The sequence below is a fragment of the Homo sapiens genome, chromosome 10 (genome assembly GCF_000001405.40).
Source record: "Homo sapiens chromosome 10, GRCh38.p14 Primary Assembly".
In the NCBI taxonomy this organism is placed as follows: Eukaryota; Metazoa; Chordata; class Mammalia; order Primates; family Hominidae; genus Homo; species Homo sapiens.
Window position 1 is genome coordinate 43,837,570 of NC_000010.11, and position 16,254 is coordinate 43,853,823.

The following is a 16,254-nucleotide window of genomic DNA, read 5'->3' on the forward strand; positions in this document are numbered from 1 at the left end:
TTGCGTTGCTGTAAAAAAATACTTGAGACTGGGCAATTTATAATGAACATAAATGTATTGGCTCACAGTTCTGGAGGCTAAATCCAATATCAAGGCACTGGCATCTGTTGAGGGCCTTTTTGCTGTATCATCCCATGGTGGAAGGTGAATGGGAGAGAGAAAGAGAGAGAGAGAGAAAGTGGACAAAGTCACCCTTTTATAAGGAATTCACTCCTGTAAATAAGGACATTAATCTGTTCATGAAGGCAGAACCCTCATGGCTTAATCTTTGAAGTTAAACATCTTAATACCATTGCAATTAAAATTTAATCATGAGTTTTGGAGGGGACACATATTCAAACCATAGAATTATGTTCCTGGTGTCCCAAAATTCATGTTGTTCTCACATACAAAAGACATTCATTCTATCTCAGTGGCCCCCAAAGTCTTAACTCATTCCTGTATCAACTCAAAAGTTCAAAATCCAGAGTCTCATCAAAATTAGACATGAGCAAGACTCAAGGCATGATTTATCCTGAGGCAAATTCTTCTCCATCTGTAAGCCTATGAAATTAAACAAGTACGTGCTTCCAAAATACAATGGTGGAACAGGTATAGGATAGACATTCCTATTCCAAAAGGGAGTAATAGGAAAGAAGAAAGGGGTAACTGATCTCAAAGAAGTTCAAAACCCAACAGAGTGAACAGCATTAAATCTAAGACTTCAGAATAATCTTTGACTTCATATGCCACCTTTCGGACACACTGTGGTGGGGATTGGGCACCCAAGGCCTTGAGGAGCTCCAGCCCTATGACTTTACTGGACTCAGCCCCAAAAGCAGCTCTCTCGGGTTGTAATCTTGTACCTGCAGTTCGCCTAGGCTGGTGTTGCATGCTGGCGGCTCTACAGTTCTGGGGTCTTGGAGGTGACCTTGCCCCCATGGCTCCATTAGGCCTAGTGGGGACTCTCTGCAGCAGCTCTGTCCTCACACTTCTCCTGGGCATTGCCCGAGTGGAGGCTCTCTGCAATGACTTCACTCCTGTGTTAAGTCTCTGCCTGTGACATCCTTTGAAATCTATGTGGAGGCACCCATGCCTTCTCAGCTCTTGCATCATGTGCACCTGCAGAATCAGCATCACATGGATGCTGCTAGGGTTTATGGCATGTACCTTCTGAAGCAGCGGGCCAAGCTGTACCTGGTCTATTTGAGCCATGGCTGGGGCGGCTGAGGAGCACTGTACTGGAATTGGGAAGCAGAGACTTGAGGCAGCCCTGGGCAGTGCAGCCCAAAGTCTGGAGGGTGCCCTAGGCCTCTCTTTTGACATATGTCCGTCCCCAGGAAGGATCTGGCACTCTGGACCTGTGGTGGGAGGGATGTCACCAATAATGTCTGAAGTGCCTTGGGGGTCATTGACGAACAGCCTCTGGCTTCCTTCTATCCACATGAGTCTCCTTATCAAATGGTGAGTTGGCTGCACCATTGGTTTCCTCTCCTGAAAATACTCTTTCATCCTCTATCACATGGCCAGGCTGAGAATCCTTCAAATCCCTAAACTGTGTTTTTCTTTTAATTATACAATTTTGTCTTTAAATAATTTTTCTCTTCTCAAAATTTAGTATACGCAGTTATGAGAAGCCCCACAGCATCCTGAATACTTCGTTGCTTAGATATTTCTTTGACCAGGTATTCTAGTTCATTTCTCTTATATTCTGCCTTTCACAAAGCACTTGGGGTGGACACAATTTAGCTAAGATCTTTGCCACTTTGTAACAAGGTGGGCTTTACTTTAGTGTCCGGTACCTTTTCTCTCATTTCAACTTGAGACCTCATCAGAATTGCCTTGACTGTCCTTATTTCTACCAACATTCTGATCATGACCACTTAGTAATCTCTAGGAAGATTCAGACTTTCCCTACAGCCCCTTTCTTCCTCTGACTCCTCCCCAGAGTTGCTCTTAATGCTCCTTTCATGGCAATACAAGCTATTTCCAGTCAGCTTCTCCAAACTCTTCCAGACTCTACCCATTGCCCAGTTTCAAAGCTGCTTCTACATTTTCAGGTGTCTGTTATGGCACAACCACCACTTCTTGTTACCAATTTTCTGTCTAAGTCCATTTGTGCTACTATAACAAAATACTTGAGACTGAGTGATTTATAATGAACAGAAATTCACTGGCTCACAGTTATGGAGGCTGAGAAGTCCAATATCAGGTGTCAGCATCTTTCAAGGGCCAGTCTTCTTGCTGTATTATCCCAAGGCAGAAGGGAGACGGTGAGGAAGGTGAGAGAGGGTGAGAGAAAGAGAGAGAAGAGAGGGCAAACACACCCCTTTCTTTTTTTGAAACTTTTATTTTTGGTTCAGGGGAACATGTGAAGGTTTGTTACATAGGTATACTCACATCACAGTCTCCTTTTAGTTCTTTGTGGTGAAACATTAGCACAATCATGAAATTCGTTTTGGGGGCTCTGGTGTGTGAGGGAGGGGCTGCAGAGCCTCCTGCTCAGAGCACACTTTCTGGAGGCTGTGCACTTCACAGGCTGGTCAGAGAGGTGGACAACGGGCTGCTCAATGACCTGTAACAGGGATGCCAATAGGTCAGACAGTGACCCTGAGCCTGGCAACACACCAATTTAGTGTCCAGCAGTGAGCTCTCAGCCCATCCAGCCCCAACCTGATTGAGCTGCACAGGGGTGAAGGTATTTCTCTCTGATTCCCCACTGAAGCGCCCAGAGCATGAAAATCCCTTAATGTTGTACAGATTATTACATCACCCTGGTATTAAGCCCAGAACCCAATAGTTGTCTTTTCTGCACCTCTCCCTCCTCCCACCCTCCACCCTCAAGTAGACCCCAGTGTCTGTAGTTTCTTTCTTTGAAACACACCCCTGTCTAACAAACCCAATTCCATGATAACAGCATTAATTCATTCATGAAGGCAGAGCCCTAATGGCCTAATCACCTCTTAAAGCTCTCACCTCTTAAAACGGTTATAATGGCAATGAAATTTCAAAATGAGTTTTTGAGAGGACAAAGATTCAAACCATAGTACCAGGCAAACATAAATGTTGTAATTTCATGTACTTATAAGTATTATTAACAAAACCTGAACAAGACAAGAGATATTTTTGATAATGAGGACATCTATAAGGAGGCGTTCTCTTCCATTTAGCAATTTCTGCTTGATACTTAATGGTGGATAATTTGGCACATAGAGGATTATGACAGACACATGTTTATTATAGATTATGTGTTTCATTGTTATAATATGGAATTTTAATGCCTTTTAACACTTTAAAGCCAATTAGCTTTGTGATATTGTCATGGAAGCCCCTGCTTTCTTCCCATTTCTGTCCACGTGGGTCTCTGCACTGTCCCTATCTGTTCACCTTCCTGGTTACTTTGCTGGGAAACTCTCATTTATGCAGCACATAGTAATTTTTACTCCAGTTGCATTTATCTTATTTACATATATTTTTATGGCAGAGGTACTTGCTCTTACTCTCATCCTCTTATGCTCCATTTTATATTTCTTCCAGTGGTTATTTGTATTTTCCACATTTTGCTAAATGGTCTATAGTTTCTTTGCGTTTTCTTTTTTGTCCTAGTAATATGGTAGGCACACAGTCTCTCTCTCTCTCTCTCTCTCTCTCTCTCTCTCTCTCTCTCTCTCTCTCTTTTGAGCCAGAGGCTCACTCTGTTGCCCAGGCTGGAGCACTGTGGCACAATCTCAGCTCACTGCCACCTCTGCCTCCAAAGCTCAAGTAACTCTCCTGCCTCAGCCTCTCGAGTAGCTGGGATTACAGGAGTGCGCCACCACGCCTGGCTAATTTTTGTATTTTTAGTAGAGATGGTTTCACCACGTTGGCTAGGCTGGTCTTGAACTCCTGACCTCAAGAGATCCACGTGCCTCAGCCTCCCAAAGTGCTGGGAATTACAGGCGTGAACCACCGTGCCTGGCCACACAGTCTCTTTTTAGTTCTATGTGGGGCAATGTTACGACAATTATGAAATCCCTTTTGGTGGCTCTGGTGTGTGAGAGAGGGGCTGCAGAGCCTCCTGTTCAGAGCACACTGTCTGGAGGCTGTGCACTTCACAGGCTGGTCAGAGAGGTGGACAACAGGCTGCTCAGAGAGGTGGACAACAGGCTGCTCAATGACCTGTAACAGGACTGTTCACAGGTCAGACAGTGACCCCAAGGCTGGAAACATACCACTTTAGTGTCCAGCAGTGAGCTCCCAGCCCATCCAGCCTCAGCCTGATTGAGCTGCACAGGGGTGAAGGTGTTTCTCTCTAATCCCCCACTGAAGCGTCCAGAACATGCGAATCTCTTAATGGAGGCTGCTGTGGCTAAGCCCCCCGGTGAGGGATGCTTTGGACTAAGAAGACAGCTGTACCCATGGGTGCCACCTGAAACCTTTGCACCACCACTGCTGGTGAGCTCTCAATGCCAGACCTTGGACTCCAGGTAGTGAGGACTGTTCCACGTGTTTTTCAGTGTCCCAGTGTGCCTCCACCCTGCCTAATGTGAGACTGTAACAGCTTTGCATGTGCAGCGCAGGCAGGGAGGATCCTGGGAAACAGGCACTGCCTTGCCACTGCTGTCTTCAGTGCAAACCAGGATATTCCCAGGAGCACAGACTGTATGTGACTATGCCCCTTTCACTGAGCACACTGGCCCGTGGCAGGAGGACTTGCTGCCAAATAATGGCTTGGAGTCCAGGGGACCGTGATCTAGGCCACAGTGGGAGGTGAAGAGGGTGTGAGCTGAGGCGCCAGGTAGGAGGGAGATGGTGCACTCGGGGGCTCCCTGGGGGGTCAGGGGATGGGCAATGGGGCTGGAGGAGTAGGAGGGGCTGGATCTGACCTGAGAAACGCACTTTTGAGAACCCAGATTGGAGAGACAGCATCTGTGATGAGGGGACCATTGTAATACAAGAGGAAAAATGTTGGAATGAATGAAGGCTGTGGAAATGGGCATGTTTTAGAAATCCAAAAGCAAGGAACATGGAAGGATCAGGAAATGGATTGATGGCCAGGCTGGGGGCGGAAATGCCAGGGAACGTGGGAGCTGGTGGTGCCGTTTGCTGCAGAAGGAAGCACGGGGGTTGGGCAGGGCATCGAGAGGGAGGAGTCTGGAGCTAGAGCAGCCTCATGCGAAGGATCAGGACAGGGCAGGTGGGAGCCACAGACCTTGCCACCACTGGGTTCTGGGGCTGCCCCGTGAGTGGTTCCCTGCATATGGTGTGAGAACCGGGGAGGGCAAGAGCCCCAGAGCTGCCAGGGCCCGTCCTCATGGAAAGTGGCTGTGCCAGTGGCTGCCAAGGCCAGAACTTCTTCCAGGAGACACTGCTGAGGAAGACGAACAGAAAGAATGAATTAGTGTAAGAAAAAAAGGAAGAGCAGCAGGAATGAATGGAGGAAAGAAGGAAGGAGGAAGGGGAAGGGACTTGGACTGCTTCTTATGGGCTGGGGGAGCTGTTCGTGTTATATGTCCCACACGTTATCTTATTTACTCCTTGGGGTAATCTGACATTTTTGCCTTCATTTTAAAGATGAGGAAACAGAAGCCTCATGGGGGTAAGCAATGGCTGGGCCAGAATCAAACCCTGGCAATGGGACTTGTGTCTCTTAGCTCCACTGCCTCTAAATGGAGATATGAATGAAACGTTGGGGGATAGGATGGACAGCATGCTCACTTACTGACTGCACGTATAATAACAAGGTGATTGTGTTCTGAGTGGTCCTTCCTGGATTGATCTGTGCTGTCAGAAGTCAGGACAGGGGCTAGCCCTGGAAGATGTGGGGGCCAGACACACAGAAGCCTTCTGTGGCATGAGTCACATGTGTCTCAAGCTGGATGCTGGGGGCTGGGCCTGTGGTAGGGGAAGCTTCTATAATGTAAATCTGGAGTCCTACAGTCACAGCATCTTTGGGTAATTGAGACAAGGGCTGATGCAATCAGTAGAATATTAGAATGTGTCACTGAGTTAATGGACACAGTGTGCCTGGAATGCACATCACCCTAAACCCGGGGATAGATCCACTGCCGTGGGGGTGGAATCTGTTAGAACTCTCCAAGCTCCATGGGGCTCGAACTTCAGTGCCAAAGCGGGATGGGTTTGTGGCTTCAGCTCTCTGGGACACAGCTGCCAGCCTCTCCTTGTCCAGCTGGCTTCTTGAAGGTTGGGATCGGAGGCTCATCCATGCACAAGAGCTTCTGGACACAGATTCTTTGGCTCCAGTCTTTGGTTCAAACAAAAGGCATTTTCGTAAGCCTCTGTCTTCTTGCCCTGCTTTGAGCAAGTTCAGTTCAAATTCTGAGTTGCTTTTGGCTCTGGCCAAATTCTGCTGTTCTTGGAGGTTTGCTTTGTTTCTTTTTGATGCTCTACAAGTCAAAAATTGCAACATACACCAAGGAGAAAACATGTGGCGAAGACAATGAAAAACAGATCCGGGCCTGCCAAAGAAAGAGGTGGAAAGACAGAACCTGTCAGTTCCATACATCGTGCAGTTCTGGGTGCTCCACTCCAGAGCAAATGTGCTGGCCTGTGGATGGAATTCTTCCTGAGTGAGCCCTGCTTTTTAGATCTGGGTTCAATAAAGATAATTCTCTTCATCCAGTGTAATCTTCAAGTGTTCCATGACTTTTTTCCCTCAAGATCTTTCACCTACTTCTTATAAAAGCAACTGAATGTTGATTTAGGTTTGGGCTGGCAATAATGATGAAAAGTTGGTGACTTGGGGCTCTATGTTCAAAAACCATCTGCATCTCACCATTGCGAGGTGGACTTGTGAATTCCTTTTTTAGTCATAAAAAACTCACAGAATTCCATGAAGGGAAGGAGCCAAGGGGCCCACCTCTCACAGAGGCTGCTGTACCAGGCGGGTAGATGATGACATTCTCGAGGGTTTGCAAGTGCTGCCAGTCTGTGAGGCTGAAGGGTGTCCACAGGAGGAGGGGGCCCTGTGTCTGCAGGCTTGTAGTCTCCAGTGAAGCAACTCAGGGAGATCCTGCTCCACATCAGAACAAAGGCTAGAAACAGGAATTTCTGACTCTGAAAATCCGGATTATAATTATAGTGGAGTGATTGAGAATACCAAGAAGTGATTGATTCTCAGGAGGTGGAGGATACACTTTCACAGTTAATACAGCATGACAAAACAAAGCAAAACAAAAACTAACAACCTTGCCCTGTGGGGTAGAAACAACAGAATTATCCTTCCTAACATCCTTAATTTTAAATTATATATCCACATGTATACATATTAGCCCATTTTTTTTTCTCCAGAAGATTGTTAGTTCCCTGAGGGTGAGGCCTCTTTTTCTTTTCCCCCCACTTCTGTTTTCCAGCCATTAGTACAGTTCCTGGAAGATTGTATCTTGACAATTTATGTAGTCATTTATTTATTTGAGTACTATTTATTGAAGGCCTTCTATCCAGTGAACACTGTTCGGAAGAATATCACAGTGAACAGAAGGGACAAGAATTCCTTCCTCCCAAGGCTTACATTTGAAAGGCATGGGAAAAACAAAACAAAAAAAGAAACCAAATAACTAGAAGGGATTGTGGTGTAAAACCTAAATCATAACCAAGGGAGGGGCATGCAGGTCACATTTTAGTTGGCATGGTGGTTACTTAGTCTCTGAGGTCATTAAGTGGCCTGTGGTCTGAGGCAGGTGCAACGTGAGAAATCCAGAGAATCATGAGGGGGTAGGGCAGGCTTAGAAAAGGGAGAATCTGCTGCCAGAGAGGCCAGATGCCATGAGTCCAAAGGAATCATCCCGCCCCCAGCAGACAAGCGTGGAGCCAGCCTGCTCCTCTGGCCAAAGCATTCCACCCCCGGACCTCTCCTCCAGGTACTTCCTGTCCAGACGGGCAGTGGCCCCAGAGCCTGGGAAACCTGCCCCACAGGTGAGGGCAAGGGGTGTGTCTGAAGTGGGTGAGAGGCTGGTATGAGCCTTGGTTGCTGCTCTGGAAACAGGAAGAAGAGATGTGGAAGAAGAGATGTGGGTATGGTGGATTCTGACCCTTGGCTCCCCAAAGTTCCACAGGTATGTGCAGTTTATCGGTCTCATTGATTATTAAGTTCTGTGGGGGAACGGCTCTGTCAACATCGTCCCAGAGACATCTGTTGATGCCTTAGTGTTCCCTGCGGTCAAGGTGCCTGCAGTATGGCGGAGGAGACTCATGCAGAAAATCAGAACTGTATTATCTTAGTGCCAAAACAGAAGTGGGCATTTTGACATTGCAGTGGCAAAAGGAGGACATGGTCAGCTACAGGTGGCTATCTTAGTTTATTAATAGCAAAATATTAAAAAATATTTTAAAAATTATATTTGCCTCCCAGTGGAGGGTCTTGGGTAATTGGGCAACCCAGTGCTAAAGATAGGACTGGGACTTTCATCATAAACCTTTTATACATTTGTGTTTTTTGACATTTAAAAATCAGAATATTTTCAGCTTAAAAAAAAACATAATAAGCTTCCATAGTTCTTAGAACTGGGACTGTCCACATCAGGAATACGTGATTTGCAATGCCAAGAAAGATGTGCTGAATTTATTCGGCAAACTAAAGAGAAAATAAAATTTATTTGAGTATTTAAAAAAACCCAGGAATGAGTGCTATGCATGCCACACACTAGCATGCCAGATAAAACAGATGTGGAGTCAGAAACTGAATGATGTGCCTCTTGACCTTTGATTTGACCTCTTGTGCCTTTGATTTTGTCATGTGTATATATTACTTATTTAAGAATTATTCATGTAATTGTAAAAGTGGATGAGGAAATGATGTAAAAACAGCTACTCCTTGTGGAAGGTTGGCCTTTGTGCTAAGTGCTGTTTGCTCCACCTCATTCCTAGAGCAGGGAGCATTTGCAGAGGCTTGGGAGGGAGTGGACGTGTCCCTGATGCTAAGGGCAGAGGAGGAGCGGGGCCCTCGGGCAGCTGGAAGGGCATCCTGAAAAGACGCCTGCCTGCCGCCGTTCTCCTGGCAGCAGGGCGCGCTGGGAAGCACCAGGCAGGAAGTGAAGAATTTCCGGTTGTCAGCGGAGGGATGGGGCGTCACCAAGTCTGTGGCAAGCACACCAAGAACCAGCTAAGTCCAAGGCTCACCTGCATGGCAAATGGTGAAGGTAAAGTCCAGCTGCCAGCCCAAAGTAGAGCGCTTTTACAGCAAGCTGCTCTCAAATCATTTCCAAAATCAAAGTTGCTGTAGCTGCAGTCAGGGAACTTCAACAGGATGTGGGCCAGGGGTAAGACAGAAGCATATCTTTACCTGGTTCTCCATCTGGGAGATGAGCATCCCGAGGGAGAAGGACAAGACACCTCAGTAAGGACTGGTGCTCAATGTGTCGGGGCGTGGGGGGCGTGGGGGGCGTGGGGGCTGGGTGGGTGGGTGGTGAGGAAGCAGGAGGGGCCAGATGGAGAAATTCGAATTGTTCCTTTTGCTGCAGACAATAGGAGCACGATAAAGTTTTCAGCAGGGGAGCCATGTGATCACATTTCTGCTTTAGAAACAAAGGGAAGAGCTCAAAATCCTGGAAAGATGATATCTGAGCTGGAAGCCCTCATTGAGTTCTGACCCTCTCCTTGTGAAGCAAGCAACTTGCCAACATCATCAAACCCTTCATTTAAACTCAGAAGAAAAACAAAACAAAGCAAAACAATGCAACCCCCAAACCCTTCCTGTCATTGACCCTGGGTCACCGTCCTATTTCTAACAGGCACATTTTAATTACTGGCAACTCATTTTCTTGATTGGGTCTCTACAGCAGGCTGGAGTCTTTACTCTTGAAGACGCCCTCCAGCTCTGTTCTCTGGTGTCCCACTTTTTTCTTTGCTTCTTAAACTGGACCAACCCAAGGCAAAATTGTGATGCTGGTAGCACTTATTTTTTACTTCCTTACTCATACTACGAGAACATCTGAATTAAATCTGAATTAAATTATTTACTTTAGTTATACAATAAAGTTTGGTAAAAGCAAATTATAAAAATGCACACATAGGGTGAAAGACTTAGGGTTACATATGACTGGCCTCATCTCTTAAATTAAAATACTCTCTCCCAAAAGACCTAGAGAGGTTACGTGATCCTAAACAACTAGCTGGTAGCAGAGTTAAGGCTAGAACACCTAGCTCCCAGTGTTCCTTCTCTTCTATTGTGTATACTGGCCTATTCTTCATTACATCTTTATTTTGGTATTTATTAGAGAGTATTTCTTCAGCTATTGCTGCCTAGAAAACTATGCAGAAACTTAGTGGTTTAATAAGAATTTATTATCTCCCATTGTTCTGTGGTTGGCTGGGTGGTCACAGTCATATGTTGACTGGGGCTGTATTCATCTGAAGGCTCAGCTGGCCTAGGCACCCTGGATGGCTTGCTCGCCTGGCTGCAGGTTGATGCTGGAACTCATGCATAGACTTAGACATAGACTCTTCATGTGGCATGGGTGCCTCACATCATGGCAACTGGATTCCAATAATGAGACTGCCAACAGACCCATGCAGAAGCTGCAAGGCTCCTTATGACCTGGCTTCAGAAGTCCTGTAGTTCCCTTCCGCCACATTCTATTGGCCACGCAAATCCCCAGGACCAGCCCAGATTCAAGGGGAAGGAAATCAGAGCCCACTTCTCAATGGGAGACATGACAAAGGAGGCCATCTTTAATTTGCTACAAGGAAAGTGGAGAGAGTAGGAAAAGCAGAGGCTGTACTGAACAGGTAAATTTGAGAATCATTGCAGTAAGAGTTTAGGGCAACATAGAATGAATTAAATTAAGTCAGCAGAAAGCTGGGTGGCATACCTTTAGGCATTAGGTAGACAGGAATCAGTAGGACACCCTCTGTCTTTCAGCACTCATGTTCTATTAGGACACAGATATTAAGCAGACAGTCATTCGGATTTTAAGTTTTAAAACAGAAGTGCCTATGGTTCGTGAATCCATCCATCCATCCATCCATCAATCCATCCATCCATCCACCCACCCACCCATCCATCCATTCACTAACCTATTCATCTATCCACCTATCTATCCACCCATCCATTCATTCATCTATCCATGCATTAATTTTTTATTTATTTATTGAGGTCCTGGGGCTAAGATCTTAGATCATTGAGCTTACGTTCTAATGGGGGGATAGATAGACCCATTGCAGGCAGTGATATGAAGAAAATAAGATGAGGAGGGGCAGTAAAGGGTGGGGTGGGAAAGGAGCTGCATTCCAGTTAGGGTGATGGGAGAAGTTTTCTCAGAGGACAGGAGAGATAGGATGGCACTTGTGGGATGAACAGGATCCAGCCAGGTAAAGATTTGGAGCAGAAACTATCAGGAAAACGCAAAGGTTCCTGGGGCACAAATGGGCTTGGGGTGTTCAAGGACCAAAGGAGGGCAGTGTGGCTGGAGCTCTGTGCCTGGGGAGCACAGAGGTGTGAGAGGTCAGGGAGGCCTGAAGCAGTGTTGGGAGTGCAGAGAGTCCAGGGCTTGCCCTTCCTGGGGCCACTGCTCTGTACAGAGCAGGTGATATGAGAGGTGGGTCTTCAGGGATAAAGGCTGCACTTGGCTTAAGTGAGTTTATAATGAGGGAGGGGTCATGGGAGGCTCAGGTTGGAGGCAGAGGAGGATACTAATAAAGATAACGAATATTTAGTTATCCCTAGTCATGTTCTTCTCACAGTCCCATTTAAGCTTTATAATCCCTATGCAAAGTGGGTGTTCTTATTATCCTAAATGGAGGGTTGGTGATCAGCGGTCACTTTCCGGGCTTGCTGACTTTGAGGTCCCCTTAGGAGGCATCTAGGTGGACACGTGTAAATAAACCATTGAGATTACACCTTGCTCATATTTGGCACTCAGTAAATAAGTGTTGCATGTGATAGGGGTGAAATATAAAATTCAAAGTAGCTCCTCCATGGTGCTGAACTTGAGCTGCTAGAGAAGTGTCTATGTTACAGCTTGCTTGGCACTGAAATGAGGTTGCTGAAATGTGAATTCAAATCCACTCTAATTTCCAATATGGACTTTTTGTGTTCATGTGGTGGTCATGTGTTTCTTTTTTGGGTGATGAGTCTCTGAACTCCATTCCTGTGTTTAGGCAGGGCCTTTCCCACCTTTATTTTGCAGAGCCCAGCTCCCACTGAAGGCATATGACCCAGATCCTGAGAACCAGATGCACCGGCCTGAGCTTTCGTCAGAAGCAAGGACACACAGAACCTTTCTTAGAGGCATCATTAGAGGACCGGACATGGTGGCCAGAGGCTGCAGGGACAGAAGTCCCAGGGCCATGTCCAGGAACTGGGCTCAGGGGACCTCCTGGTGCCACCTGCATATCTGAGCCCATGGAGTTCCTCTGGTCTATTCAGTTCTCTCATTTTAACTTAATTTTGTTTTTGTAGGCTTTCTTAAAAAATTGCCCAGTTCATTTACCTGATCACGTTTATTGTTCAGAGTTGAGTGTGGTTCTCTCGTAATTATTTAGTCTCCACTGGGTCTGTGATTATATTTCCTTTCTTATTGCTAATGCTGTTTGTGTTTGATTTTCTTCTTTTTTTTCTTGGCCTGACTTAAAGAGGTTTGTCTGTTTTATCTTTATTTTAAAAATAACCAACTGTTTATTTTTACTTCTCCACTGTGATTTCCCCCTTTATTTCTTTAATGTTTGAGTTTATATTTTTTCCTATTTATTTTGGCTTAAATTTTATTATCATTTTGCTATATCCTTGTGTCAAGCGCTTAATTCAATTATTTTGTTATTTTGACTTCTAAAAAATCAGTTAATTCTATAAGTTTTCCTCTATGTACTACATTGAGCAAACTCCACAGATTTCTGTAGGGGGCATACTAATTGTAATTCAATTTCGTTTTCCATGTGTAGGTCCAGATTTATTTGAATGTCCAAATACTTAGAATTGTAGGCTCTTGTTTTGTTATTAAAGTCTGGTTTTATTACATTGTGTTTAGAGAAAATAATATGGAGGATTTTAATTTTAGATAAAGCATTAATATCTTTTTTATCCTCAAACATGATCAATTTTTGACAGTGTTCCAAAAATATACTATGAAATATATATTATCTGTTGGAATAGAGTAATATATGTACACACTCTGCCATGTGCATATGTTTATATATCATATTTAGTCAATGGTAGTTGTGTTAGCCAAGTCCTGGAGTCATCTCGATTCAAGTTTGTTGAGGCAGAATTGTCAATTTCGTCCTCAGCTCAGCTTCAACTACTTAACAGAACCTGATTCATATAGGAATTAAGTAAATGTTTGTTGAATGAAATTCAGTGTCCCCAACCTTTTTGGCACCAGGGACTGGTTTTGTTGAAGACAGTTTTTCCATGGATGATGGTAGGGGATGGTTTCAGGATGATTCAAGTGCATTACCTTTATTGTGCACTCTATTTCTATTATTATTACACTGTAATTAATGAAATGATGGTAAAACTCACAATAATGTAGAAATCAGTGGGAGCTCTGAGCTTGTTTTCCTACAACTAGATGGTCCTCTCTGGGGGTGATGGGAGACAGTGACAGATCACCAGGCATTACATTCTCATAAGGAGTGTGCAACCTAATATAGATTCCTCGCATGCACAGACCACAATAGGGTTCGTGCTTCTAGGAGACTCTAATGCCACCACTGATCTGACAGGGGGTGGAGCTCAGGTGGTAATGTGAGCCAGGAGGAGTGGCTGTAAATACAGATAACACTTCGCTCACTCACTTGCCAGTCACCTCCTTCTGTGTGGCCTGGTTCCTAATGGGCCATGGACTGGTACTGGTTCATGTAGCTTTGCTAAATTTTTCTGCATTTAAAATATATTTTATTGAGATATTTCTGGAACTTTTGGGTGCCTAGATTTGTGATGTTATACAGTGGTGCTCATTTTAGGAATATTTATTAAATGCTTTTGGTGTGCTGGGCACTGTGCTAAGCACTAGAAATACAATGGCAGATAAAAGAATCTAGTGGCCTCCTGCACTTTATGATTCATACATTATAGCTACAAAACAAACAATAAACAAGCAGATAAATAAGTATTAATTTAAAAGAATCCCGGTTGGTGCTATGAAGGAAACAAATGAGCAGCCTTTTCAAGGTATGGAGGGGATGGGACTGTTTGTGGGACGGTCAGGAAGGTCTCCCTGGGGAGGGCGCACTGAAGCCAAGGCCAGAGGACAGGTGGCCAGCCCCATGAAAAGCTGGGGCAGGCTTCCAGGCAAAGAGACCATGCCTTTTGTAAATGTGGCATCCCCTTCTCTCATTTAATGTGTTACCTTGAGTTCTACGTTGGAAATACTGCTTCTGTCTTCTTTTTGTTAGTGCTTACATGATCCATATTTATCTACACAATTATACAATCCATACAATTAGGTATTATGATGGTTAATTTTATGTGTCAATGTGGTGTGCCTAAGGGATGCCCAGATGGCTGGCAGTGCATTATATCCGGTGTGTCTGTGTGGGTGTTTTGGAAGAGGCTGGCATTTGAATCGTGGACTGAATAAGAAGACCCATCCTCACCAGCGCAGGCAGGCATTGTCCAATCCATTGAGGGCCTGAATAGAACAAAAAGGTGGAGGAAAAGTGGATCTACCCTCTCCTGCTTGAGTGGAGACATCCATCCTCTCCTGCCCTTGAGCACTGGTGCTCCTGGTTCTCAGGTTTCCCTACCCAAACCGGGACTTAGGCCATCAGCCACCGCCTTCCCCTTTTCTCAAGCCTTAGGGCTCAGGCTGCATGTCACCACCGGCTTCCCTGCTTCCTAGCTGACAGATGGCAGATTGCAGAAATTCTCAGCCTCCACAACCACGTGAGCCACTTCCCTGAATAAGTCTCCTCTTCATACAGTCCTCCCTTGGTGTGGGTGGGGATTCGTTCCAGGACCCCCGAGTATATCAAACTCCATGCATACTCAAGTCCCGCTGTCAGCCCTGCAGAACCCGTGTGTAAGGAAAGGCAGGCCTCTGCATAAGCAGCCTTCGCTTGCTGGGAATACTGTGTTTTCCATCAGAGTTTGGTTGGAAAATCTGAGTATAAGTGGATCCATGCATTGAAACCTGTGTTGTTCAAGGGACAAGCATCGAGGATAGGCACAGGCTACTGGAGACAAATATGGGAATGTGGCTATGGGCAAGACAGTGCTGGTGGGGCAGGCATCACTCCAACAAGCGGACAACAGCAGGGATCAGTGAGTTGCCAGGGGTCTGGGCATGAGTGCTGAACAAGTTGGAGGTCTTCCTTGGAGCCGGCCTCAGGCTGGGAGAGGATTGTGGGGCCTGAGCGGCTCCAGCCTGGATGGGTCCAGTCAGGAACTCTGCAAGAGGAGCTCACCTGTGCACACAGGGATGCATACTGGGAGAGAGGAGAAGCCGGGGTCAGAGGCTCTGGCCCTCTTGCACTGCATGTGGGGAGCTGCAACTCAGGGAGGCTGCTGGGCAATGGTCAGTGCCAACAGAGTGGATGCATCACAGCCATGAAGCTGTGGTCATGCAGAGCACAGCATGAGAGCCTCTGACCGAGTTGTCTGACTGGGGTTGTGGATGGAGTTGATGGGCACAGGGAAGAGAGGAGGAGGGGCTTGCTTAGCAGAAAAGATACTGAGTTGAGTTGGGGGCATGTGGAATTTGAGGTGCCTGTGGGAGACCCATTTGAGATGTTCAGTAGACAAGTGGGGGCACCCAGTTGAGCACTGGAAATGGGGCTCTGGACCCTTGAAGAGAAGCCAGCAGTTGGGTCATTGCATGAGAGGTGGTTGTGGTGATGATGGGAACTGGTAAGATTGCTCAGGTTAAAATGAAGAAAACAAGCCAAGGAAAAACGATGGTCAAGGCAAATACAGTAAGGATCGACGGCATCCTTGAAGTACTTCTTTGTCTCCAAGAGCATTCATTCTATTTCATGTGCAATGAGAATTCTAGCATTTTAGCACTGTTTAAAATTAATGACTCAGAGGGAATTCTGGCCCCACACAAGCGCCTGCTAGATGGGTAAGCCTCGCTGCCTGCCTTTCTGAATTGCTTGTCGCACAATTGGGCCATTCACTGTGTTCCGGGCCCTCTGTGTGTTTCCTCTTTTCCAGCTTAGACCTATTTGTTAGGGAAAACAATCTACTTCTCAGGGTTTCAGTTTTATGTACTGTTGATCTATTGCTTTATTTCTCTAATCTCTTTCCCACAGTCAATAGTTTTTACTACCTGGAGCTGAAAACAGCCTACAGGATACCAAAGCGTGAGTTTATTTAGAACAAAGAAGACCCTCTGATTC

The 16,254-nt window shown here is 45.7% G+C and overlaps 1 long non-coding RNA gene across 1 annotated transcript, besides 2 other annotated features; it reads left to right on the plus strand.

The window, feature by feature from the left end:
- Positions 4,747–4,916: an enhancer, noted in NCBI's record as "experimental_12499 CRE fragment used in MPRA reporter constructs". NCBI's record gives its function as "activates a minimal promoter by MPRAs in K562 erythroleukemia cells, with activity observed for both the introgressed and non-introgressed 10:44337849 or rs76720082 variant alleles {active_cell/tissue: K562}" and the evidence as "EXISTENCE:reporter gene assay evidence [ECO:0000049][PMID:34662402]".
- Position 4,832: a transcriptional cis regulatory region, noted in NCBI's record as "Neanderthal adaptively introgressed variant 10:44337849 (GRCh37/hg19 assembly coordinates) or rs76720082 in the experimental_12499 CRE". NCBI's record gives its function as "modulates activity of the experimental_12499 enhancer by MPRAs in K562 erythroleukemia cells {active_cell/tissue: K562}" and the evidence as "EXISTENCE:reporter gene assay evidence [ECO:0000049][PMID:34662402]".
- LINC00619 (long intergenic non-protein coding RNA 619) lies at positions 7,737–13,053 on the plus strand. The gene is made up of 3 exons (NR_033923.1): positions 7,737–7,838; positions 7,964–8,033; positions 12,105–13,053. It is a non-coding gene; the product is annotated as a long intergenic non-protein coding RNA 619 (long non-coding RNA).
- The last annotated feature ends 3,201 nt before the right edge of the window (positions 13,054–16,254 follow it).